Source organism: Homo sapiens, chromosome 4 (assembly GCF_000001405.40).
Source record: "Homo sapiens chromosome 4, GRCh38.p14 Primary Assembly".
Taxonomy (NCBI): Eukaryota; Metazoa; Chordata; class Mammalia; order Primates; family Hominidae; genus Homo; species Homo sapiens.
In genome coordinates this window covers 112,029,637-112,050,212 of record NC_000004.12, presented here as the reverse complement: position 1 = coordinate 112,050,212, position 20,576 = coordinate 112,029,637, and the positions used below count along the sequence as shown (strand labels likewise).

Sequence of the window (20,576 nt, the reverse complement as noted above, 5' to 3'; positions counted from 1 at the left end):
CTCAGAAGTGTCCTTCCAAACTTCCTCTCAGTCATTGCCCCCTGTATGCCTCCTAAAGTTAACTAATATCCTGACTAATATTGTAGTCATATCTTTGCTTTTTTTTTTTTGTGATGGAGTCTCACTCTGTCACCCAGGCTGGAGTGCAATGTCGAGATCTCAGCTCACTACAACCTCCACCTCCCAGGTTCAAGTGATTCTCCAGCCTTAGCCTCCTGAGTAGCTGGGATTACAGGCATGCACCTCCATGCCTGGCTAATTTTTGTGTTTTTTGTAGAGATGGGGTTTCACCATGGTGGCCAGGCTGGACCTGGCTGGGCGTGGTGGCTCATAGGTGGCCGGGGGTGGTGGCTCACATCTGTAATCTCAGCACTTTGGGAGGCCCAGGTGAGCGGATTCTTTGAGCTCAGGAGTTTGAGACAAGCCTAGGCAACATGGCGAAAACCCGCTCTAAAAAGAAAATAAAAAATTTGAGAATTTCATTGTATGAACATACTGTAATTTATCATTTTCCATTTACTGGTTGACATTTGTGCTGTTTCCAGTTTTTTGATATCATGAATAATGTTGCCATAAACATTCTTGAACATGTTTCTTGAAGCACATGTGCATACATTATTGTTAGTTATATAAGTGGAAATAGTGGGTCAAAAAGCATACATATCTTCCATTTTAAAAGATAGTTATATTGTCTTTCATATTATTTCTACTGACATTACTCCTGTTATTAGTGTTAAGAGTTCCCACTGTTCCACATTCTTTCAAATACTAATAGTATTTGACTTTTTCATTCTGGCCATTCTCATTGGTTACTGTAGTATCTCACAATGGCTTCAATTTCTGTTCCCCTTTTACTAATGACATTGAACACCTTTCATATTTTCCAGTCATTTAGATACCCTCTATTGTGAAGCATTTTTTTTTTTTTGAGGCAGAGTTGCACTCTTGTTGCCCAGGCTGCAGTGCAGTGGCACGATCTCGGCTCACCACAACCTCCGCCTCCTGGGTTCAAGTGATTTTCCTGCCTCAGCCTCCTGAGTAGCTGGGATTACAGGCATGCACCACCAGGCCCAGCTACTTTTGTATTTTTTGTAGAGATGGGGTTTCTCCATGTTGGTCAGGCTGGTCGCGAAGTCCCAACCTCAATTGATCCACCTGCCTCGGCCTCCTAAAATGCTGGGATTACAGGCATGAGGCACCGTGCCCGGCCTGAAGCACTTGTTTTAAGTCTGCTGCCCACATGACTATTGCATTGACTTTGTCTCATTGATCCATTGATTTGTTGTGGACCTGAGACTCTTACGGTGTCTTTTTAAAAAAAGGAAGTTTTGAACTTTAACCAACTCTTTCTTTATACCAACTCTTTCTTTCAATATACCAACTCTTTCTTTCATGATCTTTCATGTAGACTAAGTTTAATGTAGTCTGGTTTATCAACCCTTTCTTTCATGGTTTTTCTGTTTTGTTTAAGAAGTCTTCCCCTCCCGCAAGGTCATAAATATATTTTCTAATATAGTTTTTTAGAAGCTATGTGATTTGCCTTTCATATTTTTGTATATGGTGTGAGGTAAAGGCCAAATTTTATTTTTTCTTCACATGGGCACCCAATTGTCTTGGCACCAGTTGTTGAAATGATCATCCTTTCCATGCTGTTTAGCAGTGCTGTCTTTGTTATAAATCAGCTGTCCATACATGAATGTCTTTTGGATCTCTGTTCTATTCCAAAGATATATTTGTCATTCTTGTGTCAATACCATATTGTTTTAATAAGTGTAGTTTTATATAAATCTTGATATCAGGATAATTTTGGCCTTCATTATTTCCATATAAATTTAGCATCAGCTTGTTGAATTCTGCAAAACAAAACAAAATAGAGCCAAAGGCTGCTGGAATTTTTATTGGGATTTCATTGAATCTGTAAACAGTTTGGGGTACACTGATTAATTTCCAATGTAAAAATTCTTCTACAATTTTTGAAATCCACTTTACCTTATTAGCCAGAGAAGATACTGTAGATGTCAGTCTTTCAAAATTTATTAAAACTTGCTTTATGGTTCTGAAGAAACAAGAAGAAAAATCTAATACTATTAGTATTTGAAAGAATGTGGAACAGTGGGAACTCTAATTTTTATGAGGGAATTATATGTGCTCAGAAAGGATGTGAATGATATGTGGTTTAAAATGAATTATATGACTTGAAAAGAAAGTGTTCTGTGTCTGTGAGTTAGGTCAAATTTTATTAATCATATGTTAAAATTATCTAAGTTCTTACTGATATTTTGTCATTTGTATTAACATTTACTGAAAGGTCTGTTAGAATTTTCCACTATGGTTGTAGACTTGTCTATTTTTTCTTTGGAATACTATAAATTTTTAATGTAATATTAAGAGGCTATGTGATAATGTGTTTATACATTTAGAAGTAAATTTTCCTGGTAAATTGAACTTTTGTCATTAAGAAATGGACGATTTTATCTCTAGCAATGCTTTTTTCTTTCACATCTACTGTATTTTAGATTGATATAATTACACTATGTTTTTGGTTAGAGTTTCACGGCATAATATTTATCATTCTTTTACTTTCAACTTTCTGTATGTATTTGCTTTAGGTATGTCTATTATAGCATAGAATTTAAAAATTCTGTTATAATATTTTAATCTAAATTGAAACATTTAGTCTACTTTTAAATTTAATGTAAATACTAATTTATTTAAATTTAAATACAGTTATGCCATGCAAGCACTAACCAAAAGAATGCTAGCGCTCCTGGTGGCTAACCCTTCTCCTTCTAGCTTTATAATACTAGCAAAATCACTGTTCAGCTTCTTAGCCTTTCTGCTACCTCTCCGGGATTTTTCAGATCTCCCAGGGAATGAGTAGCTTCAAATGCAACGCTCATCTCCTTGGTCCCCAGTCCTCCTCAGATCTTGGTCTCGTAATTCTTCACTATTTTTTTTTTAACCTTTCAATGCTATGGAGAATATGTTTTTAAAAATATTTTGTTCAGCCTTTCTAGCTGAGCATTTGTCCAAATTAATTAGTTTGCCGTTACTAGATTCCTGCAATCATGCTTTTTTTAAAGTCTTATGTAGAATGTGCTTAATTTAGTCATTAGAAACTATCTGTATATCAAAAGAGAAATGATGCAACATTGAAATTGGTTTTCAGAATGTAGGTAATCCCGAATAATATACTGCAATTCTTTTATGATGATCCTATTGTAATCTTAGTGCTATAGTAGCCCTACTCAGAGATCCAAGATAGTGTATACTAGTTCAGCAATACATTTCCAGGTTAAAATATCATGACAGATATAGAAATCAATGTCATAATATAATCTCAGAAGCCTAAGGAAAATCCAAAGTGCATTGTACTTATTCTTAGGATAGAAGCAACTATAATCCCTTATAAATAAAATGTATACTGTAATGTCATGTGTTTCTTTGTGTGAATTATCACAGGTGGTTCTTTTGTGAGGAAGCAGTGGTTTAATTCAAAACTCCATTTGCCTTACCTGATTATTCTTTTAAAATTGTCGGTACACCAAACCTCTGTGACATGCAGTTTACCTATATAACAAACCTGCACATGTACCCTGGACCTAACAAAAGTTAAACATAAAAAAATAAAATTTACATGATGAATTTCCCCAGAAGTTTAGTTTGTATAGATGTTTCACATAATTTAAGTAAGAGTCCAATAAATGTTTTGAATTGGATTTATCTATTGTACTTTCCTTTGATATTTAGCAAAATTTACATAGTTTTTGTTCCTTTCCTCTCTAGGATATATTTTTGTAAATATATAGCTTTAAGTTAAATATTAACAATCTTACTCTAAAAAGCAATATTCAACTTATGCTTGGATATTTCCAAAATAAAATAATTGTTTAAAATATTTAGAGTAACAAAAATATAGGCTGAATGTATATATAGTTTACATTTTCTTAAAATACCCAACAGTAACTATTATGATTAGATACCTGATACTATTCTAGACAGGTTTATCAAGAACCTCCACAGTGAAAACCTGCCATAGTCATCTGCTTTACCTGTGATATGTGCTTATACTATCAATATTAATTTAAGGGTTCTAGTGAAGGCTGCCTTTTCCATTGATGAGAACAATTCAAAGTTTCTTTTCAGCATGGGCTTTGGAGTCAGGTCAATCTGGGTTTCAATTTGGTTCTGTCACATGCCAGCTTGACTTTAGGTTCCCTAATATTTTTAAAGTTTGTTTCCTTATTTGTTAAAATGGAGAAATCTCTGTGTTGGGGGGTCTAGAAAAAGAAAACACTGAGAGAGGATAACCTTCACAAATTTCAGAACATCGGTGTGAGACCACCTGGGGCCTACGTTCCCACTGTTATAAGGTTTATATGTAGATATGTATAACTGAGTTTTGGGTTTACCTTCCATTTTACTTGGATTAAAGATTCGAACACCTTAATGCATGCTCTTTTTGCCCTCTTTACAGAACACTTTTATATCATTTTATTACTAATTAAATTTTATATGGAATAATATGGTTACAGGGGGTTTATAAAAAAAAATCTGAGGTGGCTACTGGCCTAGACCAGGTTGTCTGCAGACTACATCTTGTGGGCCAAATCTTCCTGCAAGCTGTATTTATAAAGTTTTATTGGAACACAACAGCTCCCATGCATTAAATATTATCTCAGGCTGTTTCTGGGCTTTTGTGACAGAGTCGAGTAGTTGTGATAGAGACCATATGCCCTGCAAAGCTTAAAATATTTACTATCTGGTCCTTTGGAGAAAAGGTTTGCCATGCCTGGTCTAGAGGATAAAAATGGAGGAAAATCAAGCGAGGCCTGGTTGTGGGCTCTTTCAGCAGCCCCCTACTAGTTTATTCCTTCTAGTGTTTTTCCTTTCTTCTTCCTTTCTTGCTCAAAAAGGAAGTGCTAAACAAGATTGAACTCTTCTGTCCCATGAGTCTCCATTTTCTTAGAAAGGAGAATCTGACCAGTCATTAATAATACCTTACAATGAATTAATTTGTGTGTGCCGAACCTTTCTTAGGAACAATTTTGTTTTAAAAAAGGAATTGATACAATGCTAATTTGTCAATTTGTAATACAAATAAAAAATAAAAATAAACCCAGGAATGAAATGTATCGAGGGAAGTTTATTCAATAGGATAAGTCTTTTAATATTAGAACTTCAGACTTTTTGGAATCTGGGTAGGAACAATGTTTAAGATGTCAACAAGACTTTCTTGGTGTGCTCAGGTTAGGCAGACTGTCACTTCACTTTAGTAGTCAGGTTTGTTTCCAGATCATTGCCATTTTTTTGATGTGTATATCTGTTGTATATATCTATGTCTTCAATATATAATATCTGTTTTTCTTTCTATTCTTTATTTATTTCAGCTCATACCCCTAGTTATGCATTCCTCAATACTTTATTTCCATGTGTCTGAAAAACTGGCTTAATGGTGTCTTTAATTATAGATATTTGTCTTATAACCAAAGAACTATACACTATAGTGGCCAATAGTATATTTAATGTGGTTATGATAATTTTACATTACCATGATTATCTTATCAGTATTTATTCAGATCTCAAATGGGCATTAATTTGAAACATAGAGGTACATTATTAAGCAATGTGATAATATGTTCAGTTAACATGTTTAGTACTTAACTATGTACCAGTACTTACTGTTGCAAAAACTCTCTCTGTCTCTCTCTCTCTCTATATATATATGTATAAAGTGTTCATTTTAACTCACACAGTAGCATTGAGGTAGGTACTATTTTTATCAGTCTCTTATTTTATACATGAGAAAATTGAGATACAGAGAGGTTAAGTAACTTGCTGAATACTACACAGCTGGTAAGCAGAGGAGTCAGTATTAAATCGTAGGCAGTGTGGCGCGCTAAAGTTCCTGTTGTTAGCCATTGTGCTGTATTGCCACAGACACATATGCCAAACATTAATATTTGCTTATAAAAGATACTTAAAAGTAATAAAATATTCCTTTGAATAATTAGTTCTGCAAATGAATCCAAAATAAAATTTAATTGACATATGACATAAAATTGGTAGAAATAATTTGTTTCATAAAGAGTATTGCATTTATGAAATAAATGCTCGTCTCCTTTCCCCACCTAGTTTTCTGTTTGTTTATTTTTGCCAATTTGTATTCTTCTTGTATTTTTTGATTTATGCATGCACCATCTTTTAGTAAAATCCAGCAAAGGGAAACTAACAAAAGTCAATATACCTTTGCCAAGGCTAAAATTAATTTCTCTGGGGTGTTTTCTTTTGAATGACATTTAGGGATTTACTGCTGCCCTCCTGGCTGCTTCCTTATCTCTCAGTGAGCCCCATAAGTTGGAAATCTGCATGGGTACCCCAAAGTCATACACTGAATCATATAATGAGCTTTTCTCAGTATTACCTTTCAGACAAATGATTATCGAGTGTTTTGTAGGACACAACATGGTGCAGTGGAAAGAACATTGGATTGGGCATCCCAAGTCCTGGGTTCAGAATCTGATTCCACTGATGACTAGCTGTATAATTGGGCAAATCACTCAACATCTAAGTTTCAGTCAACTTATTGGAACATGGGGGTGATAATATCTATATCATATGATTGTTTCTGAGGTAGCAAGTGAACATTTGTTCTTAGATGTTAATTAATCTTTAAATTGCACTTTATTTTCCTTTTGAGATCTTGATGAGGCTAGCACATACATATCAAATGGATTTGTGTTTGCAAAGTACAACCTATATAACTCGTCATTTTTCTTGCATTACTTCACTTAAATACGTAAGTCTTACTTGGCAGTATCATGCTATACCTGTCAAAAGTGATAGTAATGAGAAAAACATAACCACGTTTAAGAGCAGTTTTGTTCAGGGTAACACTTAGACTTCAGGTTCTGTAACAGCTAGATGGGAACCTGTTACAAATATTTTTCCTTTGTTCCTCATCAAAAATGAAGAAACCAGTCACTGCATCAAGATAAACATGTGTAATGTCGTCTTTATTTCCTTTGGAATTTGTATGACACAAATGGGAGATATTCTTGATAAATCACATGTTGGGTAGTTTTTGTAACCAAAGAGATAAGGCTTTTTAAAAGACTTCTAAGTTCTTAATTTTCATCACAATGTCATGAGGTAGTCAGAAAAACACAATGTTCCTTTGTGTAATTAAATTAATAAAGCAGAAAATCTGTTTTCAGATCAAATTCTAAATGACTGTACGGCTTGCTCTCTGTGTTGTTTATGTTCATGGTTATTTGGCTTGGTGAATAGCAGGAGGTTAGGAATGATTTCACTTTCAGCTATAATTATGAAGATGTGGAAACAAAATCAGTGCCTAATCACTGCATGTTCATTCCTAATCAGGAAGGTGGCAAAAAAAAGGAAAAAAAAAATCACTGCATATTCACAGGCTAAAGATGTCATAAAATATTCTGAAGTGATATTTTCTCTGAAACTGTCAACCCTCTGACATGCTCCAGTGAACTCTTGGAGGAATAGATACAAATATACTGTGTGTGTGTGTGTGTGTGTGTGTGTGTGTATATATATATATATATATATATATATATATATATATATGTAAAGTATCCAAAGACTTAAGAAAGAAGTTTTTCTAGTCTGTCAGATAACCCCCTTGGAGCTTAGATGCTTCATGGAGCTCTCTTCTTAATTATTACTGAAGTGCCATAGGAAAAATAATAATGTCTGGTTGTTGATGTAGCAGTGCAACTTCACTTCAGGAAATCTTTGTTATTTGATAGAAAGAGATATTTATCACTAATAATTTTTCTAATGGCTTAATGTACCAGTTGCAAAGTGTTGCAAAGCTAAACTGGCCATATATAGTGTTCGCTATATATGTGTTCGCAGCGAAAATCTCTACAATTAGCAGGTATATCCCAGAAATGTTAAAACATTAACCTTATGATCTTTTGCTGGGAGCAATAGTAATTTGTAACCATATCTTTTTCAGGAATTTGTTTGCATCCAAAAATGGGGAAAAGGGCTATGGGGTGTTGAACCCCAATTAGTCATTACATTCCTTTAATCAGGAGATGAAGAAGTCTGAAATGCCTCCTCTTAGAATTAGCCAAAATAATGAAAGTCTAAAAGATAAAGTTTAGAGCTGTAATCTTTGCCTTAAGGATGGCTCCACATAAAATGAGATCATCTTGGCTCATGCTGGACTTTGTAATTCAATTTCCAGCCTTGGATATTTCAGATATTCTTTGTCTACTCTCTATTCCTATAGTATGATTTTTTCCCTAGTGTATATTGCTTTTGCAGGTATTGCTGCCAGGCAGTTTTTTTGCCTTTCCATAAATTTAAAGGGCCCATATAACAGTTTAACACATTTAATAAACAGACTTTATATGGAAATAATTTTATGACTTGTAGCAAGTTAAAGTTTATCTTAAAAAGTTCTGTTTTAGGTTTGCAAGGCAAACGAATCATTAGGTGATTTAAGAGCCTATGGTAATGATAATTTAAATAAAAACTCTAATGTAAACCTTCTGCTCCAATATTCATTCACGTTTCCTTCAAGGTAAGAGGGAAATTTGGACGATGTACTGGGGCAGTGTTTAATAAGACAAAATATCTCTTTATAAAATTATTTTGCTTACATTTGTAAAAGTGACAGCTTAAGAGGATACTCCTATAACTTTGACAAAAGAATAGAGGTGCAGTAGGTCAAACAGCTTTTAATGGGCCATGCCATCCTCTGAGCTTGCTTTCCTAACTTACAGGTTCACATTTGTTTGGGTCCACCTTTTTTGTATAACTTCTTCTTAAGTTTATTTATATAATTTGTTCCTACCAGTGCCCTGGGTCATTTATTACACCTATTAACTTCTCTCTCTGAAGAGATTCTGCCAGAATTCCTTAACAACCATCTTTGAGTCTGTTTCTTCTCTCTTTAAATTTGAGATCAAGGATTTTGCTGGAACAGTGCGTGTTGAGCGTGCTTTGCTGCTGTCCTGATTATCTTTTCTGTGGATAGAGGTACATGTAATTCACCATACGGATACAGTTTCTGTGTGGAAAATACTTTAGAAATGTAAAACTCACACAATTGTTTTTTGATCTCACATTCAACGCTAGCTGGAGCAGTCTCTTAGTATTACATTAAGATATTTCAATGACTTCTCTTCTAAGGATAGTTTTCCATTTTTTATACTTTACATTTTGCCCATGGATCGAGATGAACATTCTTTTCCTATCACACTTTTGTTTTTCTCTGGAAAACATAGTCTGGGAAACCTTCACTCTAACCAATCTTTGGCCAGGTGCACCAGAAGCTTAATTATTAGAATCTCTGTTTTTTCAAGTCCCCCTCTTTTCTAAAATAATCTCAAAATTATTTAATCATGTTAATTAGAATGATATTGTTAAAAAGTAATTTATAGTGGAACATAACTATGCAATAGACTCTGTTAAATGTTGGAGGCAATTTTGAAATTACATCTACTTGACACCAAATTAATTGGTTTAAAAGGCAACATTCTTTAATATTAAGCAACAATTTAAAATTATTTTACTAACTGTAATAAATGCCATTTTAAGAAAATTATGTCAAGGCATTTAAAATAGTCAAGACAATAAGTGTTTTTATAGATTCAGCCACATGAAACTTTGAAGATTAATTCTAATTTGTTGGCCTTTAACACAACGCCATGAAAAGATTCTGCTTTAAAAGGTCTGTACAGACTTTATTTTAGTCTCTAGGACAGACTGTGAAGGTAATTTATTTGAGTGAACTTAATAAAAAACAACACTCTAATGGTCGAACTTAGTAAAGCAGTTATATGCCAGATATAGCTGGAACTTTTACACAGAACGAGTATTCTGTGTAATTTGGGGCTATTTGAATTGGATCTTTCATTATAGAATGAACAACTAGTTATCAAGATAATCTGTGCTTTTAATTAGTGTTTCTTGATTTTCACATATGTGTAAAAGGTACTAAAGAGATTTATAATATAACATGCAGCAATTTATTTGATGTCCAAGTTTAGGTTCTGTTATGTGAGGGTGCTTCTTACTGTTCCAGGCATTGATTCAGACTTATCACTCCAGTGTCTTACTATCATTCTTCTGACTTGGAAGACAACAAAGCAATTTACTGAGAAAAAACTGCACTTCCATTTTGTATTGGATACTACATACTAACTAAAATTACACAAAGGCTGTGGGAATCTTAAACATACCCATGGTGAAATATATTCCTTTCCAAATTTCTAGCTTTTTAGGGTTGGGGATGGGGCACAATCATGGACATATGAATAAAAATGAAGATAGCAAACTGCTAGTTGATAGAGATTATTGGTTGCCTACCAAAATTTGTTCCCTCCTTCCTTAATAATAGAATTGTAGCTAAGGTAAACTAAAGACTACATATTCCAATCTTCCTCAGAGTTAGGAGTGTCCATGTCTAAAATCTTACCAAAAGTATGTGAGAAGTTAGCTGTGGCACTTCTGGGCCTGGATCTTAGGACTTTTTTTTTGAGACCAAGACTCACTCTGTCACCCAGGCCGGAGTGCAATGGTGCGATCTCGGTTCACTGCGACCTCCGCCTCCCGAGTTCAAGCGATTCTCCTGCCTCAGCCCCCCGAATAGCTGGGACTACAGGCGCCCACCACCATGCCCGACTAATTTTTTTGTATTTTAGTAGAGACGGGGTTTCACCATGTTGCTCAGGCTGGTCTTGAACTCCTTAGCTCAGGCAATCTGCCTGCCTTGGCCTCCCAAAGTGCTAGGATTATGGGCGTGAGCCACCACGTCCATCTGGGACATTTTTAATGAGCTGAAAATGATGTGTCTGCATCCAGCTTGCAAATGCAAAAGAGGAAAATGCCGTACAGGATAGCAGAGTAACAAGGTGGGAGAAACACGGTTCACGAATCATGGGAACTAAAGATCTGTGTCAACCTAGAATACTGTAATTTAGAACTGGTTGTCACATCAGCATAACCTTCATTCTAACTAATCTTTGCCTATCAGTACCAACAGCTTATTGACTAGAATTCCTGTTTGTTGAAACCTCTCTCTTTCTTAAGCCAATCTTGGGATGACTCACAAACTCTTCTCAGTAGCCATTGAATTGCTCCTCTGCAGCTGCCTGAACCAATCTTTTTCCTGTGGTTTTAGTTCGGATGTCCTGTCATATCTTCCATTTACATGACCTCAGCATACCTTAAAGCCTGTGGATATTGGCAGTGATGCCTGTCCTATTAGCCCGAGGGATCCTCCTTTCTTCTCTAAGCATGGTTCCTTTAATGTTTGCTGAGTGGTTTCCTTTCCTTCCATAGTTCCAACAATTTTAACAGCTCCCCAACCCTCTTGCCCTCAAAGGGTAGATTTGTTAGAAAACTTATATTTGACTCTCACAATCTTTTTTTAGTTAACATTCTAGAGGAACTCAGGACCAAGTCCCTGGGACAAAACTGGTAGATCAGTGTCACTCCTCACCATCAAATAATATACTGCACCTTGGAGCCTGAGAAGGATAGTTGCAGTGCTACCCTCAGGATTTATGTTATCCTAAGGATTAAATGCACCAAATCATAATGCTGTCTTTTTACTACTTTAATAATAATAATAATTATTGTTATTGTTTTTTGAGACGGAGTATCATTCTTGTTGCCCAGGTGGGAGTGCAATGGCGTGATCTTGGCTCAGTGCAACCTTGGCCTCTTGGGTTCAAGCGATTCTCCTGCCTCAGCCTCCCAAGTAGCTGTGATTACAGGTGTGTGCCACCACAACCAGCTATTTTTTTTGAATTTTTAGTAGAGACGGGGTTTCACCACATTGGTCAGGCTGGCCTTGAACTCCTGACCTCAGGTGATCCACCCACCTAGGCCTCCCAAAGTGCTGGGATTACAGGCGTGAGCCACCGTGCCCAGCCTAACTTTCATAATTAGACTCCCCTCAAAGGCATCAACAACTTCTTATCTAATTAGTAATATTCCAGCCTAGTAATATTATTTCTCTCTTGAAGAAATTGTAAGTTGTGTTCTTAAATATTTTAAAATTAAACAAGTAACTCAATCATTCTCACCCACCCAGAGGAATAAGTTTTTCTTTGTAATATCTAGGAGGAAACATGATGCAGTGAAAAGAAAATTAGACTTAAAAGTCAAGATCTGGGTACTAATTCCAGTCCTTCCATTTACCTACTGTTTGATTTTGAGCAACTCAATTCATATTTGTTGATCTCAGTTTGATTATCTATAAAATTGCTGCTAATAATACCTACTACCCAGAATAGTTGTACATCATGAAATTGTAGCCTAAATTCTGACCTGGATTTAGAGTTAGACCTGTTCAGTCATATATATTTCTAGATCATTTGTTTTAAAGATGAAATGATTTTTTATGTGTAGAATAAAAGAATGTTTAACAAATATTTTATTGCAACAACTTTTGTGTAAATGAGGACAACTTTTGTGTATATTTCCTAATGTAATTAACATTTGTGTTCTTATTGAACCCTATTGAATTATGCATCACTTCCTATAAAGGAGAGCTGTCCTTAATTTTAGGAATATTTCACTTCAAAATGTACTTACCATTTTTATTTTGTGTGTGGGTGTGTGTGTGTGTGTGTGATATACATATTTCCACAGAATAAATAAATTTTGACCTTTAAGAAGAATCTGCTCTTCTGTTCTGGGTTTTCTTTGAGTTTACTGTAGTATGGTATATTTTTATATGGTACACGATTCCTGATTCCTAGTTCCACATCGGGAACTTAGTAGCATCTATTAGGTCCAGTAGAAGTGGGTGGGTGGCTCAGGCTACAGGATTTCCCGTTTTGCAACATAGACTTTTTCTCAGTAGCCACTTTGCTGAGCTACTAACCAGAAAGAGTTGATTTAGCTTTTTAAACTTGAATCTCTCCTGTTGCTCTCTTGGGAGGATATGTCCTAAGAATGTACTGTACTAAGAGGTTTAACAGGGAGAGAGCTGCCATTAAACACTCTTCTTAAGATCATGTTGGAATCAATGATCTAATCCCACTAGAAGTGAGTTATTGACTTCTTAATGTATAAGGGAGGCATTGGCTCCTGACGTTTGGTGTGCTCTGCTTCTCCTCCAGGGAACAGGGATCTGCTAAAGCCTTAAGGAATGTGAGGAGTGTCCTCTTATGGGAGGAGGAAGTTGGCTGTTAGAAAGTCACGAAGGAGGCCAGCATTTCTTCCTTCTGTATTTTCACTATTTAGGCTTAATATTTAAGGGTGTGATTTATAAAGGAAGCATTCATTTTATATATATTGTTCCCTGTTTGAAAGCCTACACGTGTGGCAGTGAGCTAGCAGACAAAATAAGAGAAATCTGGTTATAAGGTGTTTACAAACTTAGACAATCCGTGGGGAACAGAAAGAATTGTCTTGCTCAACTTAAGAATAGCATATCAAAAGCATTAATTTTTTCAGATGAAAAATAGTTATAATTTGTTTTCAGATTCGATAGGTAATATACAGTTGTATTGAAAATGGAAGGAAGATAGAAAATATGAAAAGGAAAATATCAATAGCTCTCAATACTATTATTCAGGCAAATATTCATTGTAAAAGTTTTTGTGAAGATCCATTTAGATATATATTTTTTGCACACTTAAACTTACAGAGTTATGTATATATGTAAATGCATGTAATATATATAATATCTTTATGTGTGTTTATCCTCATACTATATGAAAATTATTTTCAATTGGGACTATGCTGCCCATCCACCCACTCAAAAATCAGTGACTCAGTGATCCACTTTCAATTGTGGACTCTGTAAAATTTCTTATGATTTATGGCAGCAAACAGTTGAAAATCATTGTATATATTCTGCTTTATAATTATAATTTATTCTCAGTGATCTTCAGACCTCTCTATGTCAATGAACACCTAAGAACATTTAACATGAGATCTACTCTTGGACAATTTTTTTTTTTTTTGAGACAAAGTCATGCTCTGTTGTCCAGGCTGGAGTGTAGTGGTGTGATCTGGGCTCACTGCAACCTCCGCCTCCTGGGTTCAAACGATTCTTCTGTCTCTGTCTCCTGAGTAGCTGGGACTACAGGCGTGCACCACCACACCTGGCTAATTTTTGTATTATTCGTAAAGATGGGGTTTCACCATATTGGCCAGGCTGGTCTCAAACTCCTGACCTTGTAATTTGCCTGCCTCGGCCTCACAAAGTGCTGTGATTACAGGCGTGAGCCACTGTGCCCGGCCTGGACAAATTTTTAAGTGTAATATGTAATTATTGATTATGGGTATAATGTTGTACAGCATTTCTCTAGTGCTTATTCATTGTGCTTGACTGAAACTATATGTCCCTTGATTAGTAACTCAAATTTCCCCCTTCTTCAGTCCCTGGCAAACGCCATTCCACTCTTTGATTCTCTGAATTAACTATTTCAGATACTTCACATAGGTGGAATCATGCAGTAGTTATCTTTCTATGTCTGGCTTATATCATTTAGCATAATGTCTTCAAGGTTCATCCATGGTGTCACATATTGCAGAATTTGCTTCTTTTTAATGGGCTGAATAGTATTGCACTATATGTACCTTACACATTTTCTTTATACATTCACCTGTCAATGGACGTTTAGGTTGTTTCTACATCTCATCTATTGTGAATGGTGCTGCAGTGAACATAGAAGTGCCAACATCTCATCAAAATCCTGATTTCAATTTTTTTATGAATACTTAGAAATTTTATTGCTGGATCATATGGTAGTTCTATTTTTATTTTTTTTGAGGATCCTCTGTGTTATTTTCTATAGCGGTTGCACCATTTGCATTCCCACCAATAGTGTGTTAGGGTTGCTGTTTGCCCATATCTTTGCCAACACTTTCTTTAAAAAGAATAATAGCCACCCTGACAGGTATGAGGTGATGTTTCATTGTGATTTGGATTTGCATTTCCCTGATGACTAGTGATGTTGAGGATTTTTTCATATGCCTGTTGGCCATCTGTATGACTTCTTTGGAGAAGTCCTTAGACCATTTTTAAGTTGAGTTTTGAGTTTTTACTATTGAGTTGTAGGAGTTCCTTGTATATTTTGCAGATTAACCCCTTATGAGATATATGGTTTGTCAATATATCACTCATTTTTAAGTCTATATATTTGTTCATGGTATAGATATACTTTAATTTGTTTAACAACTATTTCACTGATGACATTGTGCTTATTTCCATTTCTTTCCTGCTCCTATTATTAATCATGCTTTGAAGGACGTTTTTGTTCCTACATTTTTGTATGTTTGATTCTTTATCTCCTTAGGATCTATTTGGAATCTGTTGGAGGAAGGATGTCTGAGTTAAAAAGAAGGCATTTAATATTGATGCATATCATTACACTGACCTCCAAAAAGATTGTATCAATTGACACTCCTATTAACAATTTATGAGTTTCCACATAGCACTGATCTTTAAGATCTTTATCATTTGGCTAGGTGGAAAGCAGTAAATCATTGTTTGTATTTGAGTTTTGGATTAATAATGAATGTATGCATTTGATTAGGAGCCAAAGCTGTGGAGTGTGACCATGTGAGTTTATATTCTGGCTTTATCACTTACCAGCTTTTTGACTTTGTGCTAATTATTTAACCTCTCTATGTCACAGATTAGTCATCTGGGAAATGGTAATAATAATAATACTGACCTCATAGAATTGTGAAAATTAAATTAATTAATACACATAAAGCTCTTACAACATTTCCTGGTAAACTCATTCTCAGTAAATGTTAGCTATTGATATATTTTAATGTTATCTAATATTTTACTTTTTCTCTCTTCAATTGTATATTCAAGTTCTTTGATCTACTTCGTTATGATGTTCCATCATTTATTTAGTGATTTGATAGGGAACTTTTAAAATATGACAGATATTAACTACTTATCTGTCCTGCATGCTACAAGTATTTTGGCTTTTTTGTCTGGCATTTCTTTGTACCATGTAAGGTTTTACCACTTAAGTAAAAATATACTCATCTTTTAATATTTCTGGCTGTAAAAAAGCGTTTATCATCCTAAAGATTATTTAAAAATTCACCTATGTTGTCTTCAAGGGAGGTAATGATTTTATTTCTCACATTTGAGTCTTTGATCCATCTTGAATTAGATTTGATAGCAGTCATGAAGGATCCACAAAAGCTTTACTTTTTTGACGATGACAATGCTCAGTTTGAGTACTACAAGGACATACAAAATTAAAAGTAGAACTTCCAATTTCCCTTTGATGGACAAAATCTAAATTTATCTTTTGGGAAATTTTTTCATGATATGAGGTAGGATTTTAGTTTTCTTCTATTTCCCACTCTCATTTTCTTTTATGTTTCTCTTCTTTCTGTAAAACATCTGCTCTTGGGGCTTCTATGAAAGCTTAACAGATTTTCTTCCCAGGAGCCAAGTTATTCCCATCGTATCAGGATTTCACATCGAGATAATTGATTTTAAATGTTGCTTTTTTCACAAGATTAAAATATTTCAACCTAACAATTCATACTGTGAACACTGTTTAGACTAACATCACTAAAATAATTGCCAATCAAGATGAATAGATTTTACTGCTGCTTCAAGATCCCTTTGGAATTTTGACTTCTGCTGTGCATTGGCCAGGGTGATAATTATATCATTTAATCAACATACTTAGTAATGTTTATTAAATATAAAAATATCCATATCAATGAACTTGATATGACCTATTTTGTTATTAATGTAACACAGATAGTATAATTGCATGCACATTTATTGAATGTTTCTTGTGTAGCACTGCAGATCCGCTTGGCCACATCTTTCATTTCAGCCATTGCTGCAGACAACAGTTATGAACAGATTTTTGTTTTTTTTTTTTTGAGACAGCATCTCCCTTTGTTGCCCAGGCTGGAGTGCAGCAGTGTGATCTTGGCTGGCTGCAACCTCTGCCTCCCAGGTTCAAGCAATTCTCCTGCCTCAGCCTCCCGAGAAGCTGGGATTACAGGCATGCACTACCATGCCCAGCTAATGTTTATATTTTTAGTAGTGACCGGGTTTCACCATGTTGGCCAGGCTGGTCTCGAACTCTGGACCTCAGGTCATCTGCCCGCCTTGGCCTCCCAAAGCGCTGGGTTTACAGGCATGAGCCACTGTGCCCGGCCTGTGCACAGATTTTGACCTGTTTTATGTAGGTACAACTGGAAGTGCCTTGCCTCAGTCCATATAAAGCTTCTCTGACACCAGAAGCCTTGGATTCTTGAACACATATGAACAGCCTCCCTGTGTGGGTGAGTTTATGACCCATGGGACAGACCTTGACCAATATGGCATAAAAATGGACAGGAAATGCTCCACCCTTGCATCCTTCCAGAGAGTGATTTGGAGATACGGTACAGTCCATAAGTTTTCTCAGAAGGTCCTGTAGATCCAGGAATCAGTTGCATCCAGGAGTGGCCAATTCTATATTGCATCGTTGTATTGGCTGCCCCTCCTTCTGTATCCATTCTTGTCTCTCCTGCCCCTTCCTGTCCCCCACTCCTGTGATTATAGCTTTCATAAACCATGGATGCATCAGTCTCTGTCTCGGGCTGTTATTTTGGTGTTTCTTAGACTAAAAAACTCATTAGAAAAAGAGTTTAAAAATTATTTCTGATCATTTGTATATTGTGGTTTCCACGAACTATTTATTTTAGCTTAAACCACAGAAAATCTACTAGAAACAGACCTTTGGAATTTTAAAAAAAATCTGCTGAAGACAACTATACTCTGTTCATTTTTAGTTATTTTGCTTTAAAAATTGACTTCCAATCTTCTATTTCTTCCTTTAATAACATTAAATATTTCTTCTTTAGAAAAGAAATCCCATTAACTCAGCAAAAAGGTGCAGGGAATTGACTTGTATGTCAGTTGTTTCACTTTAATTTGAGATAATATAAAGTTATTACTCATTTACTTAGACTGTCATTTAAAATGTAAAGTTGATTTAATCATTGATATCGAATTGTTGTTACTCTTACAGAAGTAAAACACAAAGAATCAAATCCTATGATGCATTCACATACTCACCTCAGAATAAACCAAGGCTTTGGTGTAAATTCATTATGATAAATATTTTAAAATATCTAAGTAATGTAGGAAGGATAAACCAACAATTCACGTAATAGTCGTAAACTTTGAAGCACTGTATTTACCGACAATTTCATTTTCTATGTGAGATTTTCAATATGCTTCTAAATTAGAAATCCTGTGTGCTTTATGGATAAAGAATAGCTTCCCTAAATTTTGGCCACTAGATGTCATGGCAGCTCCATATAAGAAGCCTAGAATGGGGGAGGGTTTGACTACCAAATAGTTTGTTTTCAGACTTCGGCTGCTCTGTTGCACAGAAGTGTATCATTCTGCAGTTTATAAAACCAGCCATTTTACAAAATTAAGGACTACCTCCAGCCAGTGTAAAAATCCAACTAATTTTGGATTTTTTATGTGGCGATGTATATGTTGATAAAGAAAATGGTTGAGAACAATTTAAAACAAATTCTGCTTTTTGACAATGTTGTCATTGCTTTGTACTTACTCTTAACTCCTTTATAACAAATACAACCAACCAACCAAACAACTCAGGGAGCATTGAGAATGAAAGCAAAAGAAAGGTTCTAAAAACCAGCTGGTTTTACATTTTGCCATTAGCTGATAAGATATACCAGCTAATGAGCAAATAAAGAGAATTTATAGCACTTAAATAGCTGAAAAGAAATCATGATCTTCTTATTAGATGATGAACTTATTTTATATTGAAAAAATGTGGTGAATAACTGGGCATAGCTCTTTGGCAATCCATACATGATTGCAAAGGCAAGATGGGGTAAGGTGGTGGTTAAGAACATAGGCTTTGGAGTCCCAAAGCCTAAGGTTTGAGATGTGGATTTTCCCCTACTTGTTATATGATGTTTTATTGCTTCATCTATAAAGAAGAATAGTTGATAATACTTATCCTGAAGGGTTGTTTTAAGGCTCAAATAGGTTTGTGAATATAAAGTTCTTAGCACAGTGTCCTCAGCATTGTAAGCAATCAATAAATAGCTACTCTCATTATAAAGATGAAATTTCATATCAAACACTTTAAAATGAAAAGCCCAATACTTCAAAATGCAAAAAGAGAATAAGCTTTAATCATTTTTCTAGCAAAATATAGTTCTGAAATAGAGGATAGCATAAATAGCCCTCCTAAAGTAAAGCCATCATGGACTTGAGACTGCGTCCATGGAAAGGAGTTGCTTATTGCAGTGATCATTACTAATATCTACAATGTTAAGTCCCCCATTTTTATTATTATGGTTTCTTATAGTGATAACAGTGTCCAGAAAGGCTGCTGATTTCTGATTTCCTACGTTCCACCTGAAGGTTGGCAGTCTCAGTCAGATGGCCCTCGTTGTACTGGGTCCACCTGTTTCCTCTCACTCTGACAGTTTAGCATTTAATGTAGAAAGGGCAGCAGGGCACAATCCCAAGACCATGCCTCACATTCCAGAGGGTCTGAACCAGAGACGATTCCATGACACCTTCTTAATATGCATAAAATAATGTGATATTGGAGGTGCCAGGACAGCAGACATCTGTCTTTAAATGTGCTCTTCCCAAAAATTGATGTATATGATACCCAGAAAAAACCTCATATTTATTTGTGCATATTTGAATAGTAACCTGAAATACTTTCATATTTTAAAAGTGTTTCAGCACATAATATTAACGTGATTGTATTTTCAGAGGCATGAAAGGGACAATTGAAACAAGGGGGTGGGTGTGGTGTGACTCTGGAGGGAAGGACAAGATCAAGGAAAAGTGGTGGAGAGAGACTTTGCCATCCATTAGTATGGCTTTGCCAGCTTCAGTAGGATTTAACATGTTGTTCTCCTACTTGCTACAGGTTTTAGAAAACTTTGGTGTAAAATCTCAACAAAAAGACTGAAGATGGGATACAAAAAAGGAAAGTCTAATGAGTAAAAGGATTTACTTCAATAAATCCCCAAATCCTACCACAAGTGGAATGATCATTTCAAATACTATAAGGCAGAAAATGAATCAGCCATGTACTAACAATTACAGAATGAGACAATGATTCATATGAAAGCCAGCATAATTACTGTGAATATCATATTAGGTTTCAAAATGAGGGAAGAACATTTTAGTACTTTCTTGGCTAAGGGTAAACATAATTGATTTATGATTAATATGAGGGTCCAGCTTATCTGGCGAATATATTGTATTTCATGTAGAAATGAGCTTAAAGGCATTTTTTTTTGCATTTCTGTGTGAAACCTAATACTCGCATGCCAGGGAAGCGTGGAGGAACAGTGGCTGGAGCCACTGACGGACGGAAGCTGAGCATTAGGCATGCCAGAGCGCAGCCCATCTGCCGCACCGCAGTGGCAAGATCCATGCTGTGCCTCAGCTTGAAACGATAGGCAATGGCTTATTTATTCATGTATCGATTTAAAATAAAAATTGGATTTATTGGAAAGAATAATATCTTTCCCCAGGCGATGCTGAGAAAATTTCTCAAGTCCTACTTCATAAG

The 20,576-nt window shown here is 35.4% G+C and overlaps 1 long non-coding RNA gene across 4 annotated transcripts in view, besides 1 other annotated feature; it reads left to right on the top strand.

Moving 5' to 3' along the window:
- Positions 1-20,576, top strand: part of LINC02945 (long intergenic non-protein coding RNA 2945) — a 308,805-nt gene that overhangs the window by 62,058 nt on the left and 226,171 nt on the right. The gene's annotated exons all lie outside the window — the stretch shown is intronic.
- Positions 819-898: a silencer, noted in NCBI's record as "silent region_15632". NCBI's record gives its function as "represses an Ori minimal core promoter by ATAC-STARR-seq in GM12878 lymphoblastoid cells {active_cell/tissue: GM12878}" and the evidence as "EXISTENCE:reporter gene assay evidence [ECO:0000049][PMID:35858748]".